Source organism: Homo sapiens, chromosome 11 (assembly GCF_000001405.40).
Source record: "Homo sapiens chromosome 11, GRCh38.p14 Primary Assembly".
In the NCBI taxonomy this organism is placed as follows: Eukaryota; Metazoa; Chordata; class Mammalia; order Primates; family Hominidae; genus Homo; species Homo sapiens.
The window spans coordinates 45,745,994-45,772,584 of record NC_000011.10 but is presented as its reverse complement, the minus strand read 5'-3'; the positions used below and the strand labels follow the sequence as shown (position 1 = coordinate 45,772,584).

The following is a 26,591-nucleotide window of genomic DNA, read 5'->3' as shown; positions in this document are numbered from 1 at the left end:
CTACTGCCCTGAGGTTCTCAGTGGGTGGAAGAATGAGTGACCATATTCTAGGGTTATCTTAGGCCAGGCCGTTGTACCCTCCTGTCCTAGGTGGGGATGAAGTGACCTCATGTGTAAAATGGGACCGTTGGACTGGCTTGTCTTTCTTTCCTTATTAGACTATGTCGAGACAGGCACCATTATATTTCTGCCCCAAAGGTGTCTTTTTCTGGACGGATCCCACAGCTGATACCAAACTTGTCTTTATTAACTGTGAGGCTGGCCATTCAAACACCAGGTGCCAGAGAGGGTCCCTCACTCATCGGAATCCGGGTGGGATGAATCCTCGGAGGCAAGGTCCCTCCACCTTCACCCTAGAGTCACACAGAGACTTGCCCTGGCGGCTGGTGACAGGTGGGCGGGAGAAGAAAAGGCCCCTGGGGAGCAGGAGAAAGCCAGGTGCCATGGGGACCCAGCGCCGCTGGAGGGCAGCACCAGCACACAGCTGAGGCCGCCTCTCCCGGAGCCCGGAGGGAGCTGGGTTCCGGTCGCCAGCGGTGCCCGGGTGAGCAGTTCACCCTCACGTCCCTGCTCTGACGAAGTTTCCATTCTTCTGGAGAAGACAAAATAAACGTGAACAAATGAACAAGTGTGCATTGTCAGGCAGCAAGTGTTGGTACAAACAAGATAGTGGTGGGGGTGGGGACACCGTTAAATAGGGGCCAGGGAGGCCTAACCCGGGAGGGGATAGCTGAGATGCCACTTGAGTGGAGAAAACAGTCCGAGATCTGAAGGTGTTCATGGAGAGGGGAAGGGGCCCCTAGAGGAGTCGGGAAAGCCTGGGTCAGGGAAGACGAGAAAACTGAGGAACAGAGAAGCCAGGTAACTTACCCAGGGTCATAGAGCCGGTGAGCTGGGGACAGCGCCTGTCAACGCCCCAGAGCCTTCCACGGCACTGGTTTCTCCGACCTTCCTCTCTAAACAGGACCGTGACAGTGACAGTTTCTGCCCCACTCCCCATTTCTGACCGCAGTCCCCATAAGGAAACAGGGCAGGGATCACTGGCTGTGAGCCCAGCAAGTCCCCTCCCGTGGCTTTCTCAGTTATTAAATGGAAGGGTGGGTCCCCCCATAACTCCGAAGCTCCCCTCTCTAAGCGTCCGCGGGCCGGGAACGCCTGAATTCTGGCTCCCGAGCACCTTCTTGTGGACAGTTTTGGAATCACACGCTCAGCGAGAAAGGGTCGTGGGAAAATGGTCTGTGCTAATTTCGGAGAGGCCAGTGGATTGGAAGGTTATCACTGAGGGTGGGTGCACGTGTGTGTGTGTGTGCGCGCACGTGCATGCGTGCATGCATCTGTGTGCCTGTGTGTGTTGGTCTGTGTGTGAATGTACCTCTGTGCGTATCTGTGTGTATGGTTGTGTGTGAGCACATACTGCCCGAGCCTGTGTGTGTGTGAGTGTGTGTGTGCACTAATGTTTGTTTATATGGGCACAGGCACACACATGTCCATGTCCATGTGTGTGTACCTGCATCTGTATTTTTTCGTCTGGTGTATGGGCTTGTTTTTGTGTGCCTGCATGCATGTGCCCATGTGCGTGTGTGTTTTGGGAACTGGGACACAGAGGATGATATGAGAAGTCCCCAGTCTTTCTCACAAAGGCCTAACCACTCTCCCTGAAGCCAGCTTTCTCCCCTACTTGCTTCTGTCTGCACCATCACCTGAGTTCTCCCACCTGAACTTTTCACCGACATTTTTGATGATTTTTCTGTTTTGTGTCCGTTGAGGCTCATTTGAATGTTACAGATCATAGCTCAAGAAATGATTCTCAGGCCGGGCATGGTGGCTCATGCCTGTAATCCCAGCACTTTGGGAGGCTGAGGCAGGTGGATCGTCTGAGGTCAAGAGTTCAAGACCAGCCTGGCTAACATGGTGAAACCCCGTTTCTACTAATAATAACAAATTAGCCAGGTGTGGTGGCGTGTGCCTGTAATCCCAGCTACTCGGGGGGCTGAGGCAGGAGAATCACTGGAACCGGTGAGGCAGAGGTTGCAGTGAGCTGAGATCCCTGGGTGACACAGCGAGACTCCGTCTAAAAAAAAAGAAAGAAAGAAGTGATTCTCCTCTAGTCTACTCACCCAAATCATGAGTTTCACTTCTCAGGTGGGCTGATCACCCACTGTCCTGTTGAGACCTGGGGACTTGTACAAAGTCGTACCCTGGAGGGTTGAGCAGAAAACCAGGCACATAGTAACTAAGACAATGGCGCGTTAGCAAAGCACTCCACACATCCCGTTCACATGTGTGTCTTACTTGACTCACAAACTGATCTTTCATCCTTTTTTTTTTCCTTTTTTGTGGTGAACAGGGTCTTGCTATATTGCCCAGGCAGGTCTCAAACTACCGGCTGATCTTTCAAGCCTAGGCAAGGTGAGGCTAATTATTCCCATTTTACAGATGAAGACACTGAGGCTCAGAGAGGGAAATAATGAAAATAGTACTGCAGGAACCATCTAACCAATATGCAAACTCTCTCATCCAGTTTTCATAACATCATCAATTCCCTTCTTTAAAAGACAAGGAGATGGAGGCTTTAAAAATGTAAGGCGAGTGCTTAATGCCATATAGCCAATCAGTAGTTGAGGCAGGATTTGAATCTCGCTCCAGAGATTAAAGCCCAAGTCCTAAACACAATGGCAGGCGTGAGGGCCCTGGGCACACACTGACTCAAGCTCTTTCAGCCACACACTGTCCCTTTGCCATGCCTCTGGGGTCCTAAGAACATCCTCCTCTGAGCCCACAGGGAGGTCATTCCCCATCCTGGGTGCCCCTGCTCCTCTCCCAGATGCGGGGCAGGTGAATCTTGTAACCTGTGTCACTCTCAGAGGCTGAGATGGGGACTGAGCATTAATTATGCAATAACCTCGCTGTGGTGTGCCTAATTGTCTGATAACCATAATTGAATCTTATGGATTACACCAACATTATTGCAGGGAGCAGCTTAAGGCAGTTAACAGAAGCTGCACTCACTTTGTGATATCTTCCTCCTGTCTCCTTGCTGGCTGGGCTGTGAGTCCTTTCCTGGGGGCTGAGGGAGGCCTCGAGGTGCAGGGGGCAGGCAGGAGGTGAGTGACAGCACAAATGTCGCATCACCTTATCCCCCCGAGGGCACCATCTTCCTGGCTGAGAAAAGTCTGTGTGGCAGGTGGAATTATCATTTTGTAAATGAGAATGTGGCATCAGAAGGCTGAGAGACTCTCCCAATTTCAGTCTTGCTCATTGCTACTGGTCCTTGCTAGCATCATCTGGGACTGTTTAGACGTGCAGCATCTCAGCTGGGCTCGGTGGCTCACGCTTGTAATCCCAGCACTTTGGGAGGCCAAGGCGTGTGGATCATGAGATCAGGAGTTTGAGACCAGCCTGACCAACATGGTGAAACCCCGTCTCTAAAAATTAGCTGGGCATGGTGGTGCGTGCCTGTAATCCCAGCTACTCAGGAGGCTGAGGTAGGAGAATTGCTGAACCTGGGAGGCGGAGGTTGCACTGAGCCGAGATCACGCCACTGTACTCCAGCCTGCGTGACAGAGCAAGACTCCGTCTCAAAAAAAAAAAAAAAAAAAAAGAAATGCAGCATCTCAGGCCCCACCCTGGACCTACTGAATCAGAAGCTGCATTATTTTTTATTAAATGAATTTTTTTTCTTTAAAGAGATGAGATTTTGCTCTGTCTTCCAGGCTGGAGTGCAGTGGTGCGATTGTGGCTTGCTGCAGCCTCGAACTCCTGGGCTTGAGAGATCCTCCAGCCTCAGCCTCCCTAGTAGCTGGGACTACAGTCGGAGCCACCATGCCTGGCTCTCAGAATCTGCATTGTAATAGCATCTCAGGTGATTTATTTTCACGTTGCCGTTTGCTGAGTGCTGGTTTATGTAATTATTTATTCATTGCCTATGTGGGATCCATTGCCCTTTCTTGTGTCAGCAACACCTTGACTTCCATTTGGGAAATAACCCTTCTTCCCATATGGGAGACCCCTAGCTGTACCCTTACTCCTACCTCCCTCAGGCATTGACCCCAGGCCAGGCCAATGAGTCAGTTCCAAGATCTTTGAGGCACTGTTGAGGAAGACGTGTTTGATGGAGTTTTGCTGAGGCTTCTTCATTCCCTCCCTCCCTTGCATGGTTCACTGTGGGTGAATATTCTTCCCCACACCATCCATGGTGAGCTCAGCCACTGACTTGCTTTGGTCAATGGAATGTCGGTAGAAGTGATGATGTGTGGGTTCCAAGCTAGGCCTTAAAGAAGTATCTTGTGTTTCCGCTTGCCCCTCTAGAGCTCCTGCCCACCATGAGAAAGGAAGGTACACCCAGGCGACCATGGCACCTTCATCTGGAGTCCAGGATGGAGACTGTGGGGCAAATTGAACCTAACCAGAGACTGGAGTCCAGCCTAACTCTGATATTAACAACCCCCCAACTAACCTGCAGACCCATGAGTATGAAAGGAATGGTTGTTATAAGCAACTGAGATTTTCAGAGTGCTTGTTGCATGGCATTGGTGCAGCAGACACCTGACTGGTATAAAAGACATACTTTCTTTCCAGGGGGATTGCTAAGCTGAATTTGGATTTTAGGTGTTATCTTGTCACTAGGAAAGCAGGGCCTGCCTAAGGGCAAAACCAACCCAGAGGGAAATGGAGCTGAGATAGGATGAGAGCCCTGATCATGATGACAGCCTTTGTTTTCATGGATCCAGCCTCACAGGAGTTAGTCAACTCTTTCAGTCTCAAGGAGTAGAGAGCTGAAACTTCGCTGGCTTAAACCCAAGAAGGAATTAGCGGCTCACATAGCTCAGAAGTCTGGAGGTGATGTGGGTTTCAGGTGAGGCTTGAATCAGTAGCCCCTGGACCAGTGTCCTTGTCTCTCCACTCTGGGTCCCATTTTGCTGGTTTCATCTGGAGGCTGGCTCCCCTTTGTGATATCGTAAAATACATATTGAGTTGTTGTCCACATTTCCTGGCATGTTACTCCTAAAATCTATGGAATCTCCAAAGTGGTAAGTGTCTTTTTGTATGCTAATGAGTTGACAGTTGGCTGGCAGCCCCTAGGTAGCTTGAGGATGGGGGCTACTCCAGAAAGTTCAAGGCAGGATTAGAGGACTGGGGCTTTCAGCCCCACTCCCATTCTCTCTTAGAGGGGAGAGGGGCTGGAAGTTACGTTGATCACCAATGGCCGATGGCTTAATCAATCACGCCTGTGTAATGAAGCCTCCATAAAAACCCTGAAGGACAGGGTCTGGAGAGCTTCTGGACAGCTGGACACACGGGGCTCCTGGAGGATGGCGCTCTGCTCCCCCATACCTTGCCCTATGCATTGCCCATCTGTGTCCTCTGTGGTATCCTTTATAATAAGTGAGTCAACGTGTTTCCCTGAGTTCTGTGAGCTGCTCTAGCAAATTAATCCAACCAATGAGGGGATTGTGGGAACCTCAATTATAGTCAGTTGGTCAGAAGCACAGCTAAAATACTCTGGGACTTGTGATTGGCATCGGGAGAAGGGGAGCATCTTGGGGACTGAGTCCTTAGCCTGTGGAACCTGACGCTATCTCCAGGTGGGGAAGTGAACTGAATTAGAGGACACCGAACTGGTGTCTGCTGCGTAATTGATTGCTTGCTTACTATGTGGGAACGCCTCCCCAAACACCCATCTGGTGTAAGAAGCCCACTGTGAGTGTATAGTGGGAGAAACAGTCTGCTTATCCATGTATTCTCAGACCCTCATTGGAGCACGATGGCGTCCTTGTTCGGGTCTAACAGGAGAGAGAGTGTTTGTTCTGGAAGCGAGGAAGCTTCTTTCTCAGGAGCTGGCAGCAAATGTCTCAGGTCTCATGGCCTCAGGTCAGGTCACATACCGTCCCTGCACCAATCTCAGAGGCTGGAGACAGAATGTGCTGATGGGCCAAGGCTGGCTGGCTGGGGGGCAGGTTAGTGTCACTGAACAGCACAGAGCCTCAAGAGAAATAGGGCTTGGCCTGAGGAGAGGTGTTGGGGATGCTGGCTGGGAAGACGCAGGAGTTCCCTATTGCTGCTGTAAAACAGCATCACAAACGTGGGGGCTTAAAGCAACAAACATTTATTCTCTCACTTTTTTTTTTTTTTAGATGAAGTCTTGCTTTGTCGCCCAGACTGGAGTGCAGTAGATTGATCTCAGCTCACTGCAACCTCCGCCTCCCGGGTTCAAGCGATTCTCCTGCCTTAGCCTCCTGAGTAGCTGGGATTACAGGCTCCCACCACCATGCCCGGCTAATTTTTGTATTTTCAGTAGAGACAGGGTTTCACCATGTTGGCCAGGCTGGTCTCGAACTCCTGACCTCAAGAGATCTTCCTGCTTCAGCCTCCCAAAATGCTGGGATTACAGGCATGAGCCACTGTGCCCAGCCTATTCTCTCACATTTTTTGAGGCTAGAATTCAGACAAGGTGGGGCAAGGTTGGTTCCTTCTGGAGCTTCTGGGGGAGAATCGGCTCCATACCTCGCCCAGCTTACAGTGGTTGCCAGAAGCACTTGGTGTTCCTTGGCTTGTAGCCACATCACTCCAATCTCTCCTTCTGTTGTCACATGGTGTATGACACATGCCAACACAAACAACTCATTTCTTTTTTTTTTGTATTTTTTGTAGAGATGGGGTTTTGCCATGTTGCCCAGGCTGGTCTTGAACTCCTAGACTCAAGTGATTGCCTGCCTCGGACTCCCAGAATGCTGGGATTACAGGCGTGAGCCACCATGCCCCACCAAGCCACTGTGGTCAGCCCACATGGCCTTCTTACAAAAATACCTGTCATTGGATTTAGTGGCCACCCTAATCCAATATGACTCCATCTTAATTTAACTAATGACATCTGCAAAGAACCCATTTCCAAACCAGGTCACATGCTGAAATTCCAGATGAACATTTTGGGGGAATGTGATTCAACCCGGTACTGAAGATAACTAGCTAATGCTCACCAGATTAAATTAAGATGATAAAATCCATTCTGTTCAAAATGTTTCTTATTTTGGAATAATTTCAGACTTACTAAAAAATTGCAAAAATAGTACGGAGTTCCTTTAATATCCTTCACTTAGCTTTCCCTAATGTTACTGTCTTGCGTAACCATAATACAATGATCATAACCAAGAAATTGACATTGACACACTACTACTAACTAACCTACAGACTTTCGTTCAGATTTCCCCGGTTTTTCTATTAATAGCTTTGTTTTGGCTCCAGGATGCAGCCCAGGATTCACACTGCATTTAGTTGACAGGCCTCCTTAGTCTCCCACAGGCTGGGACAGCTCCTCAGCCCTTCTCTGTCTCTCATGACCTTGACACTTTGGAAGAGTATTTGTCACTTATTTTGTAGGATAGTCCTCTATTTGGGTTGTCTGTTGCTTTTTCATAATTAGACTGAGATTACGCATTTTAGTTACGAGCAGCCGCAGAAGTAATGTGTCTTTCTCAGGGGTTGCGTGGTGGCCATATGTCTGGTGATGTTACTGGTGATGTTAACCTGGATCACTTGGTTAAGGTGGCATCTTCTGGGTTTCTCCACTGTCAACGGACTCAACTGACTATTCTCTTTGCAATTAATAAGCATCTGGAGATACTTTGGGTGGAGATACTTTGAGGCTATCCAGTTTATTAGTTGGAATTCTTCTGTCCTGAAAAAGTTATCCTTTCTTCCCCATCCATGCTGTTTGCATAACTTTTCTTCCACTTAATACTAACTCTCAGATCCTAGATTTGCCGAGTTGTCCACTGTCTGACTATATCCTGATTATTACTTAATCATTTCTCAGTTGCTGGGTAATATTTATCAATTTCCCCTCAACTACAAACAATGTTGCAATGAATGTACTTGTATTTATTGCTACTTGCTTTTGAGAGTCATTTTGAAGGCTATAGTCCCCCAAATAGAAAGTCCGAGGCAAGAGGTATGAGCATTTTTAGTTTTTCTTCAATATTGCCAAATTGCCCCTCTATGAGACTGCACTTGGTAACACTACCACCCTCGGTATATGGACCTCATTTGTCCATCCATCCGTTCATTCATATGGCTTGCCTTTGGTCAGGCTGTGCAAGCGCAGATTCAGGGGAAGCAAAGCCCCCTGCAACTCTACAGCTGCTTTACAAGCTCAGCACCCTCCTTCTCACTTATTTTATTCCCTGCCTCATCATCTTCTTCTTTTTTTTTTTTTTGAGATGGAGTCTCACTCTGTTGCCCAGGCTGGAGTGCAGTGGCGCGATCTCAGCTCACTACAACCTCCACCTCCTGGGTTCAAGCAATTCTCCTGCCTCAGCGTCCTGAGTAGCTGGGACTACAGGCATGCTTCACCATGCCAGGCTAATTTTTGCATTTTTTAGTAGGGATGGGTTTTTGCCATGTTAGCCAGGCTGGTCTCGAACTCCTGACCTCAAGTGATCCACCTGCCTCAGCCTCCTGAAGTGCTGGGATTGCAGGCATAAGCCACTGTGCCTGGCCCCTGCCTCATCTTCTTTAGCACAAATAAATTCCACATGTACAATATTTTAGAACAGTGTATTTTTTTCAAGACATAATTCACATAGAATTCACTCTTTTACAGTGTCCTATTCAGTGGCTTTTGGTATATTTACATTGTTGTGTAACTATCACCATTATTTACTGTCAGAACATTTTGATTGCCCCCAAAAGAACCCCCATGCCCGTTAGTAATCACTGCCCATTACCCACTGCCTCTAGCCCAGGCAACCAGTGATCTGTTTTCTGCCTTTATGGATTTGCCTACTCTGGACATTTCACATAAATGGGATCCTGTGATATGTGGCCTTTGGTGACTGGATTCTTTGGTTTAGCATAATGTTTTCAAGGTTCATCCATGTTGTAGTGTGTATCAGCACTTCCTTCCTTTTAATGGCTGAATAATATCACATTGTATGTGTCTCTTAGTTTGTTCCTGCATTACTAAAATAAATAAATATGTGAGACTGGGCAATTTATAAAGAGAAGAGGTTTGTTTGGCTCACGGTTCTGCAGGCTGTACAAGCATGGCATCATCATCTGCTCAGCGTCTGGGGAGGCCTCAGGGAGCTTTCAATCATGACCAAAGGCGAAGCGGGGGCCACTGTATCTCATGGCCAGAGCTGGATGGAGAGAGAAGCGGAAGGTGCCATGCTCTTTAAACAACCAGGTCTCACGTGAACTACCAAAGAGAAAACTCACTTATTACCACGGGAATGGCACTGGGCCATTTATGAGGGACTCGCCCCCATGATTCAAACACCTCCCACCAGATTTCACCTCCAACATTATATATATATATTTTTGAAATGAAGTCTCGCTCTTGTCACCCAGGCTGGAGTGCAGTTGTGTGATCTTGGATCATTGCCACCTCCGCCTCCCAGTTACAAGTGATTCTCTTGCCTTAGCCTCCTCAGTACCTGGGACTACAGGCACCTGCCACAATGCCTGGCTAATTTTTGTATTTTTAGTAGAGATCGGGTTTCACCATATTGGCTAGGCTGATCTCGAACTCCTGACCTCAGGTGATCTGCCAGCCTTGGCCTCCCAAAGTGCTGGGATTACAGGCGTGAGCCACCATGACCAGCCCACCTCTAACATTGGCGGTCACATTTCAACATGAGATTTGGAGGGGACAGACCTCCAAACCATATCATATGCTAGATCACATTTTGTTTACCCATACATCAGTTGGTGGACATTTGAGTTGTTTACATCTTTTGACTATTATGAGTAAGGCTGCTGTGAACCTTGGTGTATGAGCTTCTGTATGAAGGTATTTTTTAATGTATCATGAGTAGGTACCTAGGAGGGTGACTGGGTCATGTGGTAACTTTATGTTTCACTTTTGGAAAAATTGACAAAATGGCTGTACCATTTTACGTTCCCACCAGCGATGTATAAGAATTTTGACAAAATCCTTATACAGATCCTCTCAAACACTTGTTATTGTTTGTCTTTTTGATTACAGACAGTCCCCGACTTACAGTGATTTGACTTAATGACTTTGCGATGGTGCAAAAGCAACAGCTATGCAGTAGAAACATACTTCCAGAACCCGTGCAATCATTTCGTTTTTCACTTTCAGTATACTAGTCAATAAATTACATGGGCTATTCAACAATTTATTAGAAAATAGGCTTTGCATGAGATGATTTCGCCCAACTGTAGGTTAATGTAAGTGTTCTGAGCACATTTTAGGTAGACTAGGCTAAGCTATGATGTTTGGTGGGTTAGGTGTATTAAATGCATTTTTGACTTATTAAATTATTTTAAAATGTATTAAGTGCATTTTCCACTTATGATGGGTTTATTGGGATGCAACTCTATTGTAAGTTAAGGAGCATCTTTTCTTTTCTTTTTTTAAGAGCCAGGGTCCAGCTCTATTGCCCAGGCCGGAGTGCACTGGTGTAGTCATAGCTTGCTGTAATCTCAAACTCCTGAGCTCAAGTGATCCTCCCGCTTCAGCCTCCTGAGTAGCTGGGACTACAGGCATGCACCATTATGCCTGGCTAATTTTTATTTTTATTTATTTTTTATTTTTTGTAGAAATGAGGTCTCGATATATTGCCCAGGGTGGTCTCAAACTCCTGGCCTCAAGTGATCCTCCTGCCTCGGCCTTCCAAAGTGTTGGTATTACAGGCATGAGCCACCTTGCTCAGTGGACCTGAGGAGCATCTGTATAGCCAGACTAGTGGGTGTGAAGTGATATCTCATAGTGGTTTTGATTTGCATTTCCCTGGTGACTAATGATGTTGACCATCTCTTCCTGTGTTTGCCGGTCATTTGAATATCTTCTTTGGAGAAATATCTATTTGAGTCTTTTGCCCATTTTTAAATTTGAGGTTTTTTAAAATTTATTTTTTAGATGGAGTCTTGCTCTGTCGCCCAGCCTGGAGTTCAGTGGCGCGATCTTGGCTCACTGCAACCTCTGCCTCCTGGGTTCAAGCAATTCTCCTGCCTCAGCCTCCTGAGTAGCTGGGATTACAGGCGCACACCACCACACCCAGCTAATTTTTGTATTTTTAGTAGAGATGGGGTTTCATCATATTGGTCAGGCTGGTCTCGGACTCTTGACCTCAGGTGATCCACCCTCCTCGGCCTCCCAAAATGTTGGGATTACAGGCATGAGCCACCACGCCCAGCCTAAAACTGAGTTTTAAAATTGTAGAATTGAAAGAGTTCTTTATATATTCTAAATACTAGGCCTTGGTAAGATATATGACTCGCAAATATGTTCTCCCATTTTGTGGATTGCTCTTTCACTTTTGTGATGTTTGCCTTGAGAATACTCGCCAGTGGCACTTGTTGGCTGCAGGTTTACCCTGAGATAATTTGCCATGAACGATCTTGCTATTATTTATTTATTTATTCATTTTTTTAGCGGGAGTCTTGCTCTGTCGCCCAGGTTGGAGTGCAGTGTCGCAATCTCGGCTTACTGCAAGCTCCACCTCCCAGGTTCACGCCATTCTCCTGTGTCAGCCTCCCGAGTAGCTGGGACTACAGGTGCCCGCCACCACAGCCAGCTAATTTTTTTGTATTTTTAGTAGAGATGGGGTTTCACCGTGTTAGCCAGGATGGTCTTGATCTCCTGACCTTGTGATCCGCCCACCTCAGCCTCCCAAAGTGCTGGGATTACAGGCGTGAGCCACTGCGCCCGGCCACGATCTTGCTTTTATTATTATTTTTGCATTGCTCCAGTATAATTGACATTGGAAACAAAAGACATTATTCTATTTATAGCAGGCTGGTTTTAGCAGTGGTATTTCCATTTATAAATTATAGTCATTCTCAATCGCTGAAAATGTCAAATCCTAGAAAATGTAGCTTTCTTACATGTGATGTTAACCTCATTCTCGGACAGTTGTTGACTGAAGATTCATTTGATGAATCCGATTTTTTCTGATATAGACTCTTCTGATGATTCAGATGATTCTGATGTTAGTTCTGTTTAGAAATAACTCCAAGAACAGTTTTTACACTTTATTTTCACATTGAAAATCAGTCAGGTTTGCTTCAGCCTCAAAGAGCATGTTTACATAAATTTAAGTGAGCATTGGCAGTGAGCTGAGCTTTTGTTCTAAACGGGAAAATGGTTAATAATGTTCTTTGATGCACAAAAGTTTTTAATTTTGGTGAAGTCCAATTGATTATTTTTTCTTTTGTCGCTTTTGCTTGGGTGTAATTTCTAAGAAATCATTGCCTGATCCGAGGTCAGGAAGATTTACACCTATGTTTAGAGCGGTGTACATTTTTTTTGTTTTTTGAGATAGGGTCTCACTCTATCACCCAGGCTGGAGTGCAGTGGCGCAATCTTGGCTCACTGCAACCTCTGCCTCCTGAGTTCAAGTGATTCTCATGCCTCAACCTCCTGAGTAGCTGGGACCACAGTCGAGCGTCACCATGCCTGGCTAATTTTTTTTCTTTTTCTTTTTTTTTTTTTTTGAGATGGAGTTTCACTCTTGTTGCCCAGGCTGGAGTGCAATGGCATGATCTCGGCTCACCGCAACCTCCACCTCCTGGGTTCAAACGATTGTCCTGCCTCAGCCTCCTGAGTAGCTGGGATTTCAGGCATGCCCTACCATGCCTGGTTAATTTTGTATTTTTAGTAGAGATGGGGGTTTTTCCATGTTGGTCAGGCTGGTCTCGAACTCCTGACCTCAGGTGATCTGCCCACCTCAGCCTCCCAAAGTGCTGGGATTACAGGTGTGAGCCACCATGCCCAGCCTAATTTTTGTATTTTTAATAGAGATAGGGTTTCACCATGTTGGCCAGGCTGGTCTTGAACTCCTGACCTCAAGCGATCCACTCACCTCGGTCTCCCAAAGTGCTGGGATTACAGGTGTGAGCCACCGTGCCTGGCCAGCAGTGTATTTTTAAATACAAGTTTTTGACCACTACTCACAGGAAGAAAACATGTGTTGTTACCTAGCATTCCCATACGTGTATAAGTTTCATGAAATAATATATACTCTTTCTGTTTTCTATTCCGTTCTATCTCACTGGAAACAATGCCAGTCAAATCCCACTAAATTGAGCTTGTGACCCATTTATTGGCTGGGAATTGTAGTTTGAAAAATCACTGCTTAAGAGTTTACAAAGTACTCTTGTGTACCTGCCCTCATTTTCTCCTCAAGGCAGGCTTGTGAGGCAGATGATGCTGTGTCTTGTTATTATTTATTTATTTATTAATTATTATTATTATTTTTTTGAGACGGAGTCTCACTCTGTCACCCAGGCTGGAGGGCAGGGGCGCAACCTCGGCTCACTACAAGCTCTGCCTCCTGGGCTCATGCCATTCTCCTGCCTCAGCCTCCTGAGTAGCTGGGACTACAGGCCCCCGTCACCAGGCCCGGCTAATTTTTTTGTATTTTTAGTAGAGACGGGGTTTCACTGTGTTAGTCAGGATGGTCTCCATCTCCTGACCTCGTGATCCACCCGCCTCGGCCTCCCAAAGTGCTGGGATTACAGGTGTGAGCCACTGCGCCCGGCCGATGCTGTGTCTGTTTAACAGGTGGGAAAACAGGCTCAGAGTGTCTTCCGGTGGTGACATGGCAGAGCTGGCATTCTGACCTATGCCAATGCATTTTTCATCTTTGTCATCAGCTTCCCTGCAATGATTTCCACACATTAGCATGTTTAAGAATGTCCTGGGATGGCTTGTTAAAAATGCAGTTTTCCAACCTTCACTTGCAAAGATTCTGACTCTAGGTCTGAAGTGCGGTGCAGGAAATCCCATTTTTAAATTTTTTTTTTTTTAATTTAGACAGCATTTTGCTCTGTTGCCCAGGCTGGAGTGCAGTGGCTCGATCTTGGCTCACTGCAACCTCCGCCTCCTGGGCTCAAGCCATCCTTCCACCGCACCCTCCTAAGTAGCTGGGACTACAGGCACATGCCACCATGCCAGCTAATTTTTGTAGAGACAGGGTTTCACCATGTTGCCCAGGCTGGTCTTGAACTCCTGAGCTCAAGTGATCTACTCGCCTCAGCCTCCTAAAGTGCTGAGATTACAGGTGTGAGCCAGTGTGCCTGGCCTAGGAAACTGCATTTTTTAACAAGCACTTCCTTGAAAGCAGTGAGATGAGCTGTGAGTTTGTGGCAGGAGCACTGAACCAGGAGTCAGGAGACCTGGATCTCCACCTGCTGGCTCTGGGAGAGGCTTCCATGGATGTTCCCTGAGACTGAGCACATAGGACGCCAGCCTGGGGAGATGGCAGGAGACAAAGATGCAGCCAGTCCTGGAGCTCAGCGGCTCACACTCCAGTGAGCACATTTGGGAGGTGATGGGATTGCATTTTTTGAGGTTGCTGGTTGTGCCAGTGGGCTGAAGCCAAAAGGCAGTGACATTTTGCTTGCCTGAATAGAGTTTGTTCTTTTATTAAAGCATTGAGCCAACATATACAAATAGGGAGATTTCAAGTCATAATATGATTTCTGGCATCTCTTGAAGAGTCAGAAGATCTGGTGACTCTGAGTCTGTGTTGCTGCATGACCAGGAGAGCCTGGAGTTGGTCTGGGCCTGCCCCTGTTCCGTTCACCACAGTCCTTACCACTCCCTATTGTCTTCCCTGCCACCCACTCACTTACAGGCTGCTTTACCCTGTGGGCGTGTGAGAGTGGGTCCCTGGACTCCATGGTGTCCAGAGGCCTCCGTGCTCTGGCTCTGAGACCGTAGGTTTCCCCCAGCTGCACTTGACCCACGTTTGCACACTCCTCCATCCTCCCTCCATCCTCTTCCCACGCTTTCTCTGTTCCCTTCCCCTGGACTGTGGGCTTTTCTCTGAGACATAATCGTGGTGGTGTGAAAGACCATAGGCTCTGGGTTCCAGTGCCCACCCACCATTCCCTACTGAGTGGCCCTGGGCAAGTTAGGTAAACTCTCTGTTAAGTAACCTCAGCTTTCACCTCTGTAAAACAGGGGGAGCACTTCCCATCCACTCCTGATATTTCCGTCCTTGTAGAGGGGTCATCTGTTAACAAGGTTGGCCTGGGCCCAGCCCAATATTCCCCAGGGAGGAGGGGGTGACTGGCCTAACTGGTGCGCCTGGGACCAAGTCACTGCCTGTGCGGCGCAGCCCCTTCCTTCTCTTCTCTTTGGAGCTCTGCCCACCTGCGGAGACAAGCCTTCTCTCCACGCTCTTCTCTACCTCAAGTTTTACAGGGGCCAGCTCTGTCTCTGTGAGGGGAGGCTGGATTCTGGGGGCGAAGTCCAGCAGTCTGGGAGTGAGTCGTTTTGTCTTATTCTGGGGTTCAGTATTAGGAAACCGCAGACCTAAGATGTATTCTCCGAAATCACCTTCACCAATAGTCAAGTCTGAAATTCATCTCACTTGGTTCTGAACAGGGGCTGGGAAGACGGATACTGGGTCCACTCAGACACCCTCAAATAGTAGTTCCTTTGGTGGCTGTTGTGAGGGGCCATGCCTGGCAGATAGTTGCTCAATAAACAGCAATTGTTATTGTTAAAACTTTTGCTCTTCCTACTTAGTTACACATTGAGAAATAGGAAAGGGGGACCAGTGCAGGGAGGGGTGGAGTAGGGTGGGGACAAGAGGAGGTGGGTGTGTGTGGGGGCTGGGCTCAAAGGAATGTGAAGAAATAGATAAGAAGGAGGGTATAGCCTGGATAATGCTTCTCTTAAAAGCTGCCTTCCAGGGCCTTAGAAGTGTATGCAAATCACATGCAAATATCACCCATATTTATCAGCAGCCCTCCTTGGGACTTTGGCCTGGATGTGGCCCTGGGGGAAAATTTCGGTGGAGGTCACTGAATTCCTGAGAGTTTGCAGTGAGAACCAGGGAGAACAGTTGCCTCGGAATGGGTGTGGGGGAGGGTGGGAGGAAAGAGTGGTGAGGGCAGACATGGTGGGGGTAGGTGGGGTAGGGCTGGGATCTGGGGTGCGCATGGGGGCGGAGGCCAGTCCGGATGGACACAGGAGCCTATGGAGCGCGGAGACTGTGTGAAGGTGCAGGCGGTCGCCAGCAGCAAGGGGCACTCAGCAGCTCTGCATCCCTGGACCGGATCCCTCTCCCAGCCAGGCCCACTCCTTAGCCAGTCCGGAAGCTTGGAAAGACAGCGTGGGATCCTGAGCCAGCCCTGGTCCTGCCATCAGACAGACCTTGGTCATCCTCCAGCTGGGTGACCGTGAGCCAGTTACCAAGCCTCAGTTTCCTCTTCTGTAATACAGGTTAGTAACAGTCTCCCCCTCACAGAGCTCCTGTGAAGATGCGGGGAGCGAGGCATGGCCAGGGCCGGGGAGAGAAAGTGCTCGGTGAGTGTGAGTCTGGGGTCTTCAGGCTGGTTCCAGCTGCTCCTACCCTTCACAGCCCAGCTGGGAAATCTGTGCTTTACATGCTCTGTTTCATTTAATCCCAATAAGCTCTGGCTATGTAGCCACTATTATTACTCCCAGTTTACAGATGAGGATGCTGGAGTCCCATGAGGTAGAAGAGCCAGGACAGATCCAGCTTCACACTCAGACTTGGGCTGTTTCCTCCTGATGCTCTACAGCCTCCTCCCAAATGTTAGAGCTGGTGGGTCTCAGAGATGGGTAACTCTTCATTTAATACATGAAATAAAGCCCAGAGAGGTTGAGGGACTTGCCTAAGGTCACACAGCTAGTTAGGGGCAGAGCTGGAGCTTGACCAAGGGTCCTGACTGGCGGTCTTGCTCTCTTTCCTGCATAGCATACAAGACTCCCCTCCCAGGCAGCCCAGCCTGACCACTGTGGGGGCTCTGTTTCCCTTCTCTGTCTTGTGGCACTGACTGCCCGGGGTGGCGGCTGGGTGCCTCTGGGACTCCTTGGAGGTCCTCTTCTCTCAGCTGAGAGTCTGGGGGAGTGCTGCCTGCTAAGGGCTTTGGGGAACTTCCTGTCTTCTGCCCATCTCCTCCCCCCACGCTCCCTCCGCCTCTGCCTCTGCCTCTGCCTCTGCCTCTGCCTGGGTCTCTACCGCCCCTGCTCATCAGCTGTCCCTTCCCCTTTCCCACTCCAAGGCTGTCAGTGTTTGGGGGAGATTATGCAGTGTTGACATTGGAATATGAATTAGGCGAGAGCGGCAGCCAAATATTGGAATTAGGGAAGGCAGGAGCCCAGGCGGGGATCCAAGAGTGGCTGGAACATCTGTGTCTTGGCTGTTCCAGATGCCTGACCCTGCGCCCACCTGAAAACGACGGGTCCAGAGCCACAGACAAGCTCTGATGCAGCCGAGGCTTGGTCCTTGACTTGCCAGCTGAGACTACAACTAACAGTCCCACAGAACTTGGCCCCATCAGCTCGCTGTATTCCGAAGCCCAGGAAAAGGCAGATGCTTCTGCTGTGAGTTGATAGACAGAGGCAAGATGCTGCCCCAGGATGTATTCTTCATCTGATTGTCTGAAATCCCATCTTCAGTGCTCTGTTTCTACTGCTCAGGTCAGCATTTGCAAGAATGTGTTCCACAAAACCCAAGTTCTGCAGGCTGTTAAGAAGTTGTGTGTAAAAGGCGGTTCCATGGCCATGTACTTGGGAGAGATGTTGAACAGAGCTAAGCAGGACTTCCCAGGCAGGGCCTTGAGTAATTTAATAGGCACAGCGATTCATCAGAAGCGGGAGGGATAAAGTCTGGAGTATTTCCTAAGCTTGTTTGACATGTAACCCTGTTCTCATGGAGTATCTTTTTGGACCAGTGCGAACGGATCTAACTGTATTCTAGCAGCTGCTGGTACCTCTGTCCAGGCGCTGGCGTGAGATGGACACTTAATACATATGGATTGAGTCTGAATCTCTCAGAACCTGCTTCCTGTAAAATGGAATAGCAGCACCTGTCCTGAGTGTTTTTGTTTTAATTTTTGAAAGTCAAATGAGAGGCCTGTGTGTGGGAGTAGTTGCAAGCTGAATAGTTGCACATATTTCGGGAATGATTACGATCAGCCCTGTCTCTTCTTTTAACTAATCTGATAAATGTAGACATGCTGACAGTTTTGTGATAATACTCCCCCGCCTGGGGCTTTTCCATTTTCCTCTCCAGGAAGAGGGCCGTGTTTAGCATAGCATTCCTCAGTGTGAGTTCATGCCTTCATGGGCCTTATCACATGGGAGTGCTAGTGGCAAGCTCAAGGCCAGCTTGCTGAGTGGCAGGACAGAAAGGCAGTAGATTCCAGGGCTCTTGACTCCTGAGTCCAGCGCTGTGCTTGTCCCAGTGCTGCCATGGTGCCAGGTGTGGGACAGGACACTGGGGAGGCACGCACGTGACAGAGGCACTTCCTGGACCAGCTCGTGGTGGCACCTTGCCCACCACCAGACACCCCTCCCAGGGCCTGAGCACTGCCCCAAGCTCCCTGCAGGACAGCCATGCTCGAGTCTGGGACCAAGAGTGCTCTCTTTAAGGAGGCTGGGATCTCAGAGTGGGACTCTCAGCATCCAGATACCAAAGGGGGTCGTCCTCTTCCTCCCTCTTTTCTTCCTGCAGGGGTTTCTTGGGCCACAGCCTCACCTTTGCCCATCCCCCTCAGTTGGGAATTGTCTGAATTAAGAGTTAAAAAAGGTCAGATCTTGGAAGGATTGAGCCTCCTCTCCCAGGAGGCCCAGAGAAAACTTCAAGTCATAAACCTATTGTCCTGGAAACCCTCACTTCCCCTAGCTGTGCCTCGGTTTCCCCATCTGTAAGCTGAGGAACCTCATCTAGCTCTAGAAAGTAAGTCTATGGATTGAGAAACATCATAAACTCCTGCCATTTACATATGAAATACTTCTTGTAATTCCCTCTCCCCTCCGTCCACCCTCCTGTGGGGTCCTCCTCGTGTCACTCCTGTGTGATTACAGTAGCTTCCTAAGGTGTCTCCTGGACTCTAGTACTTCTCCTTCACGTCTGCCTGGAGAAATCTTTGTAGGTTCTGCTCTCCTCATGTCCTTTCCCTACTTTCAAACTTGGGATGGCTTCCTGCTGCTCCTGTGTAAGGTCTGTGTCACATCTCTTCACCTCTGCCACAGAGACCACTTGGGATTTTCTAGAGTACTGGAAGTTTTACTCTTCCTAGCCTTTGCTTTTGCCATTTCTTCAGCTAAAATGCCTTTCCTCCTTCTCCTGATGATGACATTTTCTGCAACCTGCAAGACCTAACTTCTTCCCACCCATCTTACTTCTCCTCTTCTCCCTTGATGCTCCTATTGTAAGTGCCTTTGTGCTTTTTTTTTTTTTTTTTTTTGAGACACAGTCTTGCTCTGTCATCTAGGCTGGAGTACAGTGGCACAATCAAGGCTCACTGCAACCTCCATCTCCTGAGTGTGAGAGATTCTCCTGCCTCAGCCTCCCGAGTAGCTGGGATTACAGGCACTGGCCACCATGCCCAGCTAATTTTTGTATTTTTAGTAGAGACGGGTTTTCACCATGTTGGCCAGGCTGGTCTCGAAATCCTGACCTCAAGTGATTCACCCGCCTTGACCTTCCAAAGTGCCGGGATTACAGGTATGAGCCACCGCGCCTGGCCTGTGCTGGTTTTTTTTTTTTTTTTTTTTTTGCATTGTATCATAACCAGTTAACGTACTTGATTTTCATCACTATAAATCCCATTGTATGACCAATCATCCCAAACATTTAGCATTTTCCTTAAGTTATAAAAGTAAACCAGGCGCGGTAGATCACTCCTGTAATCTCAGCACTTCGGGAGGCCAAGGCGGAGGATCGCTTGAAGCTAGGAGTTCAAGACTAGCCCTGGCAACATAGCGATAATCCGTCTCTACAAAAAATACAAAAACACTTTGGGAGGCCCAGGCGGGTGGATCACCTGAGGTTGGGAGTTCAAGACCAGCCTGGCCAACATGGCGATACCCTGTCTCTACTAAAAAATACAAAAATTAGCCAGGCGTGGTGGCGGGTACCTGTAATCCCAGCTACTCAGGAGGCTGAGGCACAAGAATTGCTTGAACCCGAAAGGCGGGGGTTGCAGTGAGCCGAGATAGTGCCACTGCACCCCAGCTTGGATGACAGAGTAATACTTCATTTCAAAAAAAGGAAAAAAAAACCCCCAAAAACAAAAAAACTAAACAAATACAAAAAATTAACTGGGCAGGTGGCACACACCTATAGTCCCAGCTACTCAGGAGGCTGAACTCAGGAGGCTGAGGGGAGGATTACTTGAGCCTGGAAGGTCAAGGCTGCAGTGAGCCGTGATGTGCCACTGCACTCCAGTTTGGGTGACAAAGCAAGAGCCCGTCTCTCTTGGGGGCGGGAGGGAAGCGCACTCTTGTAACATCTCCAAATGGTTGAGAAGTAAAGTGAAACGCCCCCCTTCTCTAACCCTATTGGTCAGTCCTGCGACTCCTGGGTAATGGCTGCTAATGGTTCCTTATGTGTTCTTCCGCCCGTACGCCTTTGCATTTTCAACGTGTATGCATGTACCAAAATTGATGTAACTGGCCTCCATTACGGGACATTTAGGTTGTTTTCCATTATCTACTGCTGTAAATAATGCTGCAAAGATCACCTTCAGATTCAAATATTTCTGCAGGCAGCGTCTTAGAAATGGGATTGCTGGGTCACAGAGAACATCCACTTAAAATTTTTAATGAACACTGCCAAACCGTCGTCAGGGAAGACTTCCAGCAAGTCTCGTACTGATGTGGAAATATCTGTTCTCCTCCTTTGAAAGTGGGTCTGGATCTTAATTTGTCGCTGTGGCCCTGGCATGTAGTAGGCTCAGTAAATGCTTGCTGAGTGACCCTACGGGTTATCAAGCCCTGGCTCTCTATTTTCTCAGAAAAAAAGCAGCCCTTCTGCCCCTAAAAAAAGTCTACAAAGTCAATCGTGAGACCAGACCTTGACCTGTTCCGTTTGGCGCTCTGGATTGCGGAGCATACCGAGGAGTCCTGGGTACTTTCTTTGTTAAGTGGGGTGTGTGTGGTTTTTGTTTTCAAAGCTGGCCTGGAGGCTCTGGGTTGCCATGGCAACTGATGAGCAGGGCCGCCTTTTCCCTTCCCTCCATCTTGGGAGCCCTGGTTGCCATAACAACTGATTGGTCCTCTCCTCTTCCTCCACCTCTGCCACAGGGCTCCAGCTTCCCTCTGGGGGCACCACTGTTCTTAGGTCTGGGGCAACCCTGATTTCACTTGACCCATGTACCTTGGGACCCTCTTGAGAGGAGATGTGAGCGAGGCCATTACTGGGGAGGGTGACGGCAGAAAACAGCATGGCCACTGGGAAGGGGAGAGGGCTCAGGTGGAGGAAGAGTGAGGTTCCCTGCTCCGACCTAGCTTGGGAGAATCAGTGTTGCCTGGGGACCAGAGGGGGAAGCAAGTTCCTCTGAGGTTCAGGGGTGGTTTTGGGGATCAGTGAGTTACAGGGACTGTGAGGTCTCAAGCATTCTTCCTCAACATTTCCTGTTGTAGATGGCAGAGCAGATGCAACGGCACCCCTGAGCTGCCCTCAGGGGGTCCTCAGCCTTGGAGGAGGCAGGAGACCTGGGCTATGGAGCCACTCACAGGCCCTACTGAGAACAACTTGGTGTCCATCACAGTCCTCTTCAGAATGCCCAGAATATGGGGATAAGAAGGTGAAACCGGCATGTTTATTAACACAATGGAATATTCTGTGGCCAAATCAAAGGAAGACGTTGAGGATTCTGGTGACACCTGGAAACGTACTGCTAAGGGAAAAAAGCAGGACCACAATGTTATGTGGATATTGACTGCGACTATATATAATGCCAGCGTGGACTTCTCAGAGATGGAATTTGGAGGAATGTAATACAGATGCAAATAGAGTTTTCCCCACATTGCCTTCTCCCGCGGTGTTTCTTCATCTCTGTCAACAGCCTTGCCACCTACTCTGTTGCCCAAACCAGAAACTTGATTCAAACTACACTTCTCCCTCTGCCCTCATGCCCCGTTCCTGTTAGTCACAAGTCCTGCTGGTTCCAGCTCTGAGACAGCTTTCAGAGTACTCCTCCTCCTGTTCCCACATTCACATCCCTAGGGGACTCTCTCCTCCCAGCGTGTCTGTTCCCCCGCATGCCCCCCACGCTCTGCTCCCCTGGCACCTCTGCCATGCTGCTGCCCCAGGGCAGATGTGGCCAAGGGGCTCCTCTCCTCCCACTCCTCGTTTGCTCCAGGATCAAGGACACACTTCTTGGCCCATTGAAGGCCCTTCCGGATCCACTTCCTTAGCCTAGGCTCTAGCTTCTCCCTGCTTGCAGCCATGCAGCAGGAGGCTCTCTTTATTCCTCTTTGCCTGTGAAGATAGCTGCCTCTGGCAGGAATACCCTTTGCTGCCTCATCTGCCTGGTCAACTCCTATCCCCCATTTCAGATTTTGCCCAAGACTTTCTAAGACAGTAGAAGAAAGGTTTCCACTCCTTTCCCCTCCTGAAAACTGTACAGAAACCACAGGAGAACAGGAATAGAAGCCTGAACTCCGTCTTTGGTGGAACATGGAGACCTCCCTACTCTTGAATCTCAATACGTGGAGGGGGAAGCTGCTGGAGGAGGATAAAGCGCTCAGCAGAGAGGAGAAACATCAAACCTCTGTACTTACCAGTGGGGAAGGCACTATAGAAATGAGCTGATTTTCTCTACAGAGACCCAGAAAGGGTCCAGGATCAGAGGCACCAGGTATCACAGGAAGTGGGGCAGGACCTGAGAATAGGGGTAGGGGGTAGTTTGAAAGTCTGTGTAAGGAGCAGTAGACTTCCAAGTCCCACTCCATCCTATGCAGCCAGGTGACTGTCCTCCTTACTCCCACGAGAGACCAGAGGTCCTGGTCTCAGAGATGCCAAGTGTGAAGAGAAGGGGTGAGGTGTCCTAATAAAGGCTCCCAGCCTCCTTCCCCACCCACCTCCAGGGTACCAGAATCAGGCTTATGCCTGCATCCTGCACTAACCCCATGCAAAGATTGAAGTGTGTTTTCACTGGAGGAATTAAACAAGCCCAAAGAAATGACTGACAGATGCTTATGCTCAGGGGTCTGTAGCAGATAAGCTGGTGGGAGCAACTGAGTGTCCAATTAACATGCCACACTCAGGCACTTCATACCTCCAACTGGCCCTGCAGTGGGGAACCATTAAATACCAACACACACCCAAAGATCACGGACACTTGAGGGACACTTTCTCTCAGTATTCTGAGGAAGATATGAACCAAGAGGAAATGGAGACTATGCAGGGAGCAGAATATAAGGTTGAAGAAACCATAACTGATATCCTTAGAGAGATACAAGAACATATTGCACCCATTAAAAAGTAACAGAGTGAAATAAAAAAGAAATAGAGAAAAAGAAAGAATCCTTAAAAGTAAAAATCCTGATGGTAAAAATTTTAAAAATTATCAAGAGTTGGAAGATAAAGTTGAAGAACTTCCTCTGTACATATAACAAAGAGAGACAAAGACATGAAGCAGAGAAGAGGCAGGAGAGAAAGTGTAAGCAATTAGGGATCATGCTGGGCGTGGTGACTCATGCTTATAATCCCAGTGCTTCAGGAGGCTGAGGTGGGAGGATTGCTTGAGGCCAGGAGTTTGGGACCAGCCTGGGCAACATAGTAGAACCACATTTCTACAGAAAATAAACAAATTAGTTGCATATGGTGCACCTGTAGTCGCAGCCACTAGGGGAGGCTGAGATAGGAGGATCACTTGAGCCCAGGAGGTTTTTTTTCTTCTGTTGTGCTGGGATTACAGGTGTGAGCCACCATGCCCGGCCGAGCCCAGGAGTTTGAGACTGCTGTTGAGCCCTGATCGTACCACTGTACTCCAGTCTGGGTGACAGAGCAAGACCTGTCTCTGAAAAAATTTATATATAATTAATGAATCAATCTAGGAGGTCCAACATTCAGCTAATAGGGGTCCCGGAAATGGAGAGAGGAAGGAATGAAATTGTCAAGGAAATAATACAAGAAAATTTCCCAGAATTAAAGGACATGTGTCCTAGATGGTAAGATCCACTGAGTATCCAACTCAGTCAGTGAAAAAAATATCCACATCCAGGCTCATCATTACAACCTTTCAGATGCAGAGATCAAGGTAGTTCTGTGAGGTTTCTGGAGACAGCTGGCTGGGACTTAGACGAGACAAGTGAGGCACTTGCCTTGTGGGTGGAATTTAAGGGGGCACCAAAAAACTCAGTGATCAAGATAAAAAAATTAATGCACTATTTAAAAAAGAGGCCGGGCGCAGTGGCTCACGCCTGTAATCCCAGCAGTTTGGGAGGCTAAGGCAGGCAGATCACTTGAGGTCAGGAGTTCAAGACCAACCCAGCCAACATGGAGAAACCCCATCTCTACTAAAAATACAAAAATTAGCTGGACATGGTGGTGCACACCTGTAATCCCAGCTACTTAGGAGGCTGAGGCAGGAGAATTGCTTGAACCTGGGAGTTGAAGGTTGCAGTGAGCCAAGATCGCACCACTGCATTCCAGCCTGGGTGACAGAGCAAGACTCTGTCTCAAAAAAAAAAAAAAAAAGAAAAGAAAAAGAAAGCAACCCATGATAAACAAACAGCAAAATTTTAAGTAAAGACATGATGGTCCGACAGGACTGGGATTTGGGCGATGTGAGTGAGGTCAAGCTGAATAAGCGTAGGTTTGGATCTCGTCTTTATTTGAAATTGACATTTCAATGGGTGAATTTTTTGGCACTCCCTTGCATGTTTGCATCTCAGATGGGTGCTTCACTCACTTCGTCCTAGTCCCAGCTCCGCACAGGAAACCTCTGGAGTGATGGCATCAGGCTGCTCAACAGTGACACTGGAAGTTTGAAGACAAGGAAGCAATGCCTTTCAAAATTCTGACTAAGACTGGCTCATGAGCGGTGGCTTATGCCTGTAATCCCAGCACTTCGGGAGGCTGAGGCGGGTGGATCACTTGAGGTCAGGCATTGGGGACCAGCCTGACCAACATAGTGAAACCCCATCTCTACTAAAAATACAACAATTAGCCGGCTGTGGTGGCACAGGCCTGTAGTCCCAGCTGCTTCGGAGGCTAAGGCAGGAGAATTTCTTGAACCCGGGAGGCCAAGATCACACCACTGCACTCCAGCCTGGGAGACAGTGAGACTTTGTCTCAAAATAAGCAAAAAACAGATCTGACTGAAGATGTTTTTCTAACTAGTATTCCACACCAACCCAGACTGTCAGTTAAACATGATGGGAGAAATAAAGAGCTTTCTAGACATATTGTGTCTTCAAATAACTTGCCTCCTATGTACCTTTCTTAGGGAACTGCTGAAGGATGTGTTTAACTTAAATCAGGGCTCCAAGAAAGAAGTTAGATCCAGAAACAAGGACTGCAACAGAGGAGGGAAGAGAGAAGGGAATTCCTTGGGTCATGGCTCCAGGGACACAAGGAGACAGCTATGCCTTGGACCAGAGAGCAAGCTGCCTAGATCAGCAGAAGTCAGAAGGCTCTAGTGGCTGGGGGAGTTTGTCCTCAGGAAGAAAACTCGGCCTAACAAATGATCTGACAGGTTTGGTGATGTGGAAAATTATATTGAGGCATGGAAAGATTTCATCAATTGTTTTCATCATCAACAACAACAACAAACCGTACTAAGTTGATGAAAAATGAGGTAATTGTTAACAGGAAGAACAAAAAGGAAAGGAAATAAGATCATAGTGTGCTACTTGGCCCAGGAATAAGATAATATTTGTGTATTTATAAAAGTGAAAATGTGGAATGTGGATTTTAAAAGATTGAGATATTATTTTGGGAGCATAAGGGGAGGAAAAGAGGGAATGGAAGAAAAATTTCTCTAAACACAACGAGGCTGAGATGACGAGCCAAGAGATTGAAGAATACACATGTTATTTAGTTTTATATATTTATTTATTTATTTAGAGACAGGGTTTCACTCTGTCACCCAGGCTGGGGTGCAGTCGCTTGATCTCAGCTCACTGACACCTCCACCTCCTGGGCTCAAGAAATCCTCCTGCCTTTGCTTCTCCAGTAGCTGGGACTACAGGCATGTGCCACTGCACCTGGCTAATTTTTGTATTTTTAGTAGAGATGGGGTTTCAACATGTTGCCCAGGCTGGTCTTGAACTCCTGGCTTCAAGTGATCTCACCAGCCTTGGCTGTCCAAAGTGCTGGCATTACAGGCATGAGCCACCGCACCTGGCTTAAAGAATACATGTATTATTTAGAGATGGGGATAGAAATAACAGCAGAGACAGCTTTGGGGAAACAAGGTGAAAGGATAGGAAACAGGAGACTTCCATTTTCAATTGTAAGCTTTTTGGGGCACTATTTGGTTTTTCAGATTTATAGGTAATACTTTGATGAAAATAAAAACAAATTTAGACAAATAGGTTTGGCTCATATTCTCTCCTCTATGAAGGAAGATGCCCCCCCACCACCCTGCTGTCCTGAGCCTTCTCTCTCTGTGACAACTTGAGCACAGGGCTTGTGTCCCCAGCACTGACACATGGCCCTATTCTTCATTTACTCAAAGACTAAGTGAGTGAATTTTTTTTTTAAAATAAAGTTTGTCAAGTTCAGGATAATTTAAAAAACAACAAAACCCAACTTTTGAAGAGGTCAAACTGGGAAAGTTATGCTGCACTCACATCAAGGGGCACTTGTCTTTTACTGGCTGTTACAGGTGATAATGACACTTAT

General features: G+C 48.0%; 2 long non-coding RNA genes across 2 annotated transcripts, besides 2 other annotated features; one reads left to right on the top strand and one right to left on the bottom strand.

The window, feature by feature from the left end:
- Positions 1-226: 226 nt before the first annotated feature.
- LINC02716 (long intergenic non-protein coding RNA 2716) lies at positions 227-1,153 on the bottom strand. The gene is made up of 2 exons (NR_027134.1): positions 871-1,153; positions 227-592 (listed from the first exon to the last, which is right to left on the bottom strand). It is a non-coding gene; the product is annotated as a long intergenic non-protein coding RNA 2716 (long non-coding RNA).
- Positions 960-1,461: an enhancer, noted in NCBI's record as "H3K4me1 hESC enhancer chr11:45792675-45793176 (GRCh37/hg19 assembly coordinates)". NCBI's record gives its function as "activates a minimal SCP1, AML or CMV promoter by ChIP-STARR-seq in primed H9 embryonic stem cells {active_cell/tissue: H9 hESC(primed)}" and the evidence as "EXISTENCE:reporter gene assay evidence [ECO:0000049][PMID:30033119]".
- Positions 16,036-16,749: an enhancer, noted in NCBI's record as "H3K4me1 hESC enhancer chr11:45777387-45778100 (GRCh37/hg19 assembly coordinates)". NCBI's record gives its function as "activates a minimal SCP1, AML or CMV promoter by ChIP-STARR-seq in primed H9 embryonic stem cells {active_cell/tissue: H9 hESC(primed)}" and the evidence as "EXISTENCE:reporter gene assay evidence [ECO:0000049][PMID:30033119]".
- On the top strand, positions 20,977-21,765 carry LINC02690 (long intergenic non-protein coding RNA 2690). The gene is made up of 2 exons (NR_183774.1): positions 20,977-21,074; positions 21,377-21,765. It is a non-coding gene; the product is annotated as a long intergenic non-protein coding RNA 2690 (long non-coding RNA).
- Positions 21,766-26,591: the final 4,826 nt, after the last annotated feature.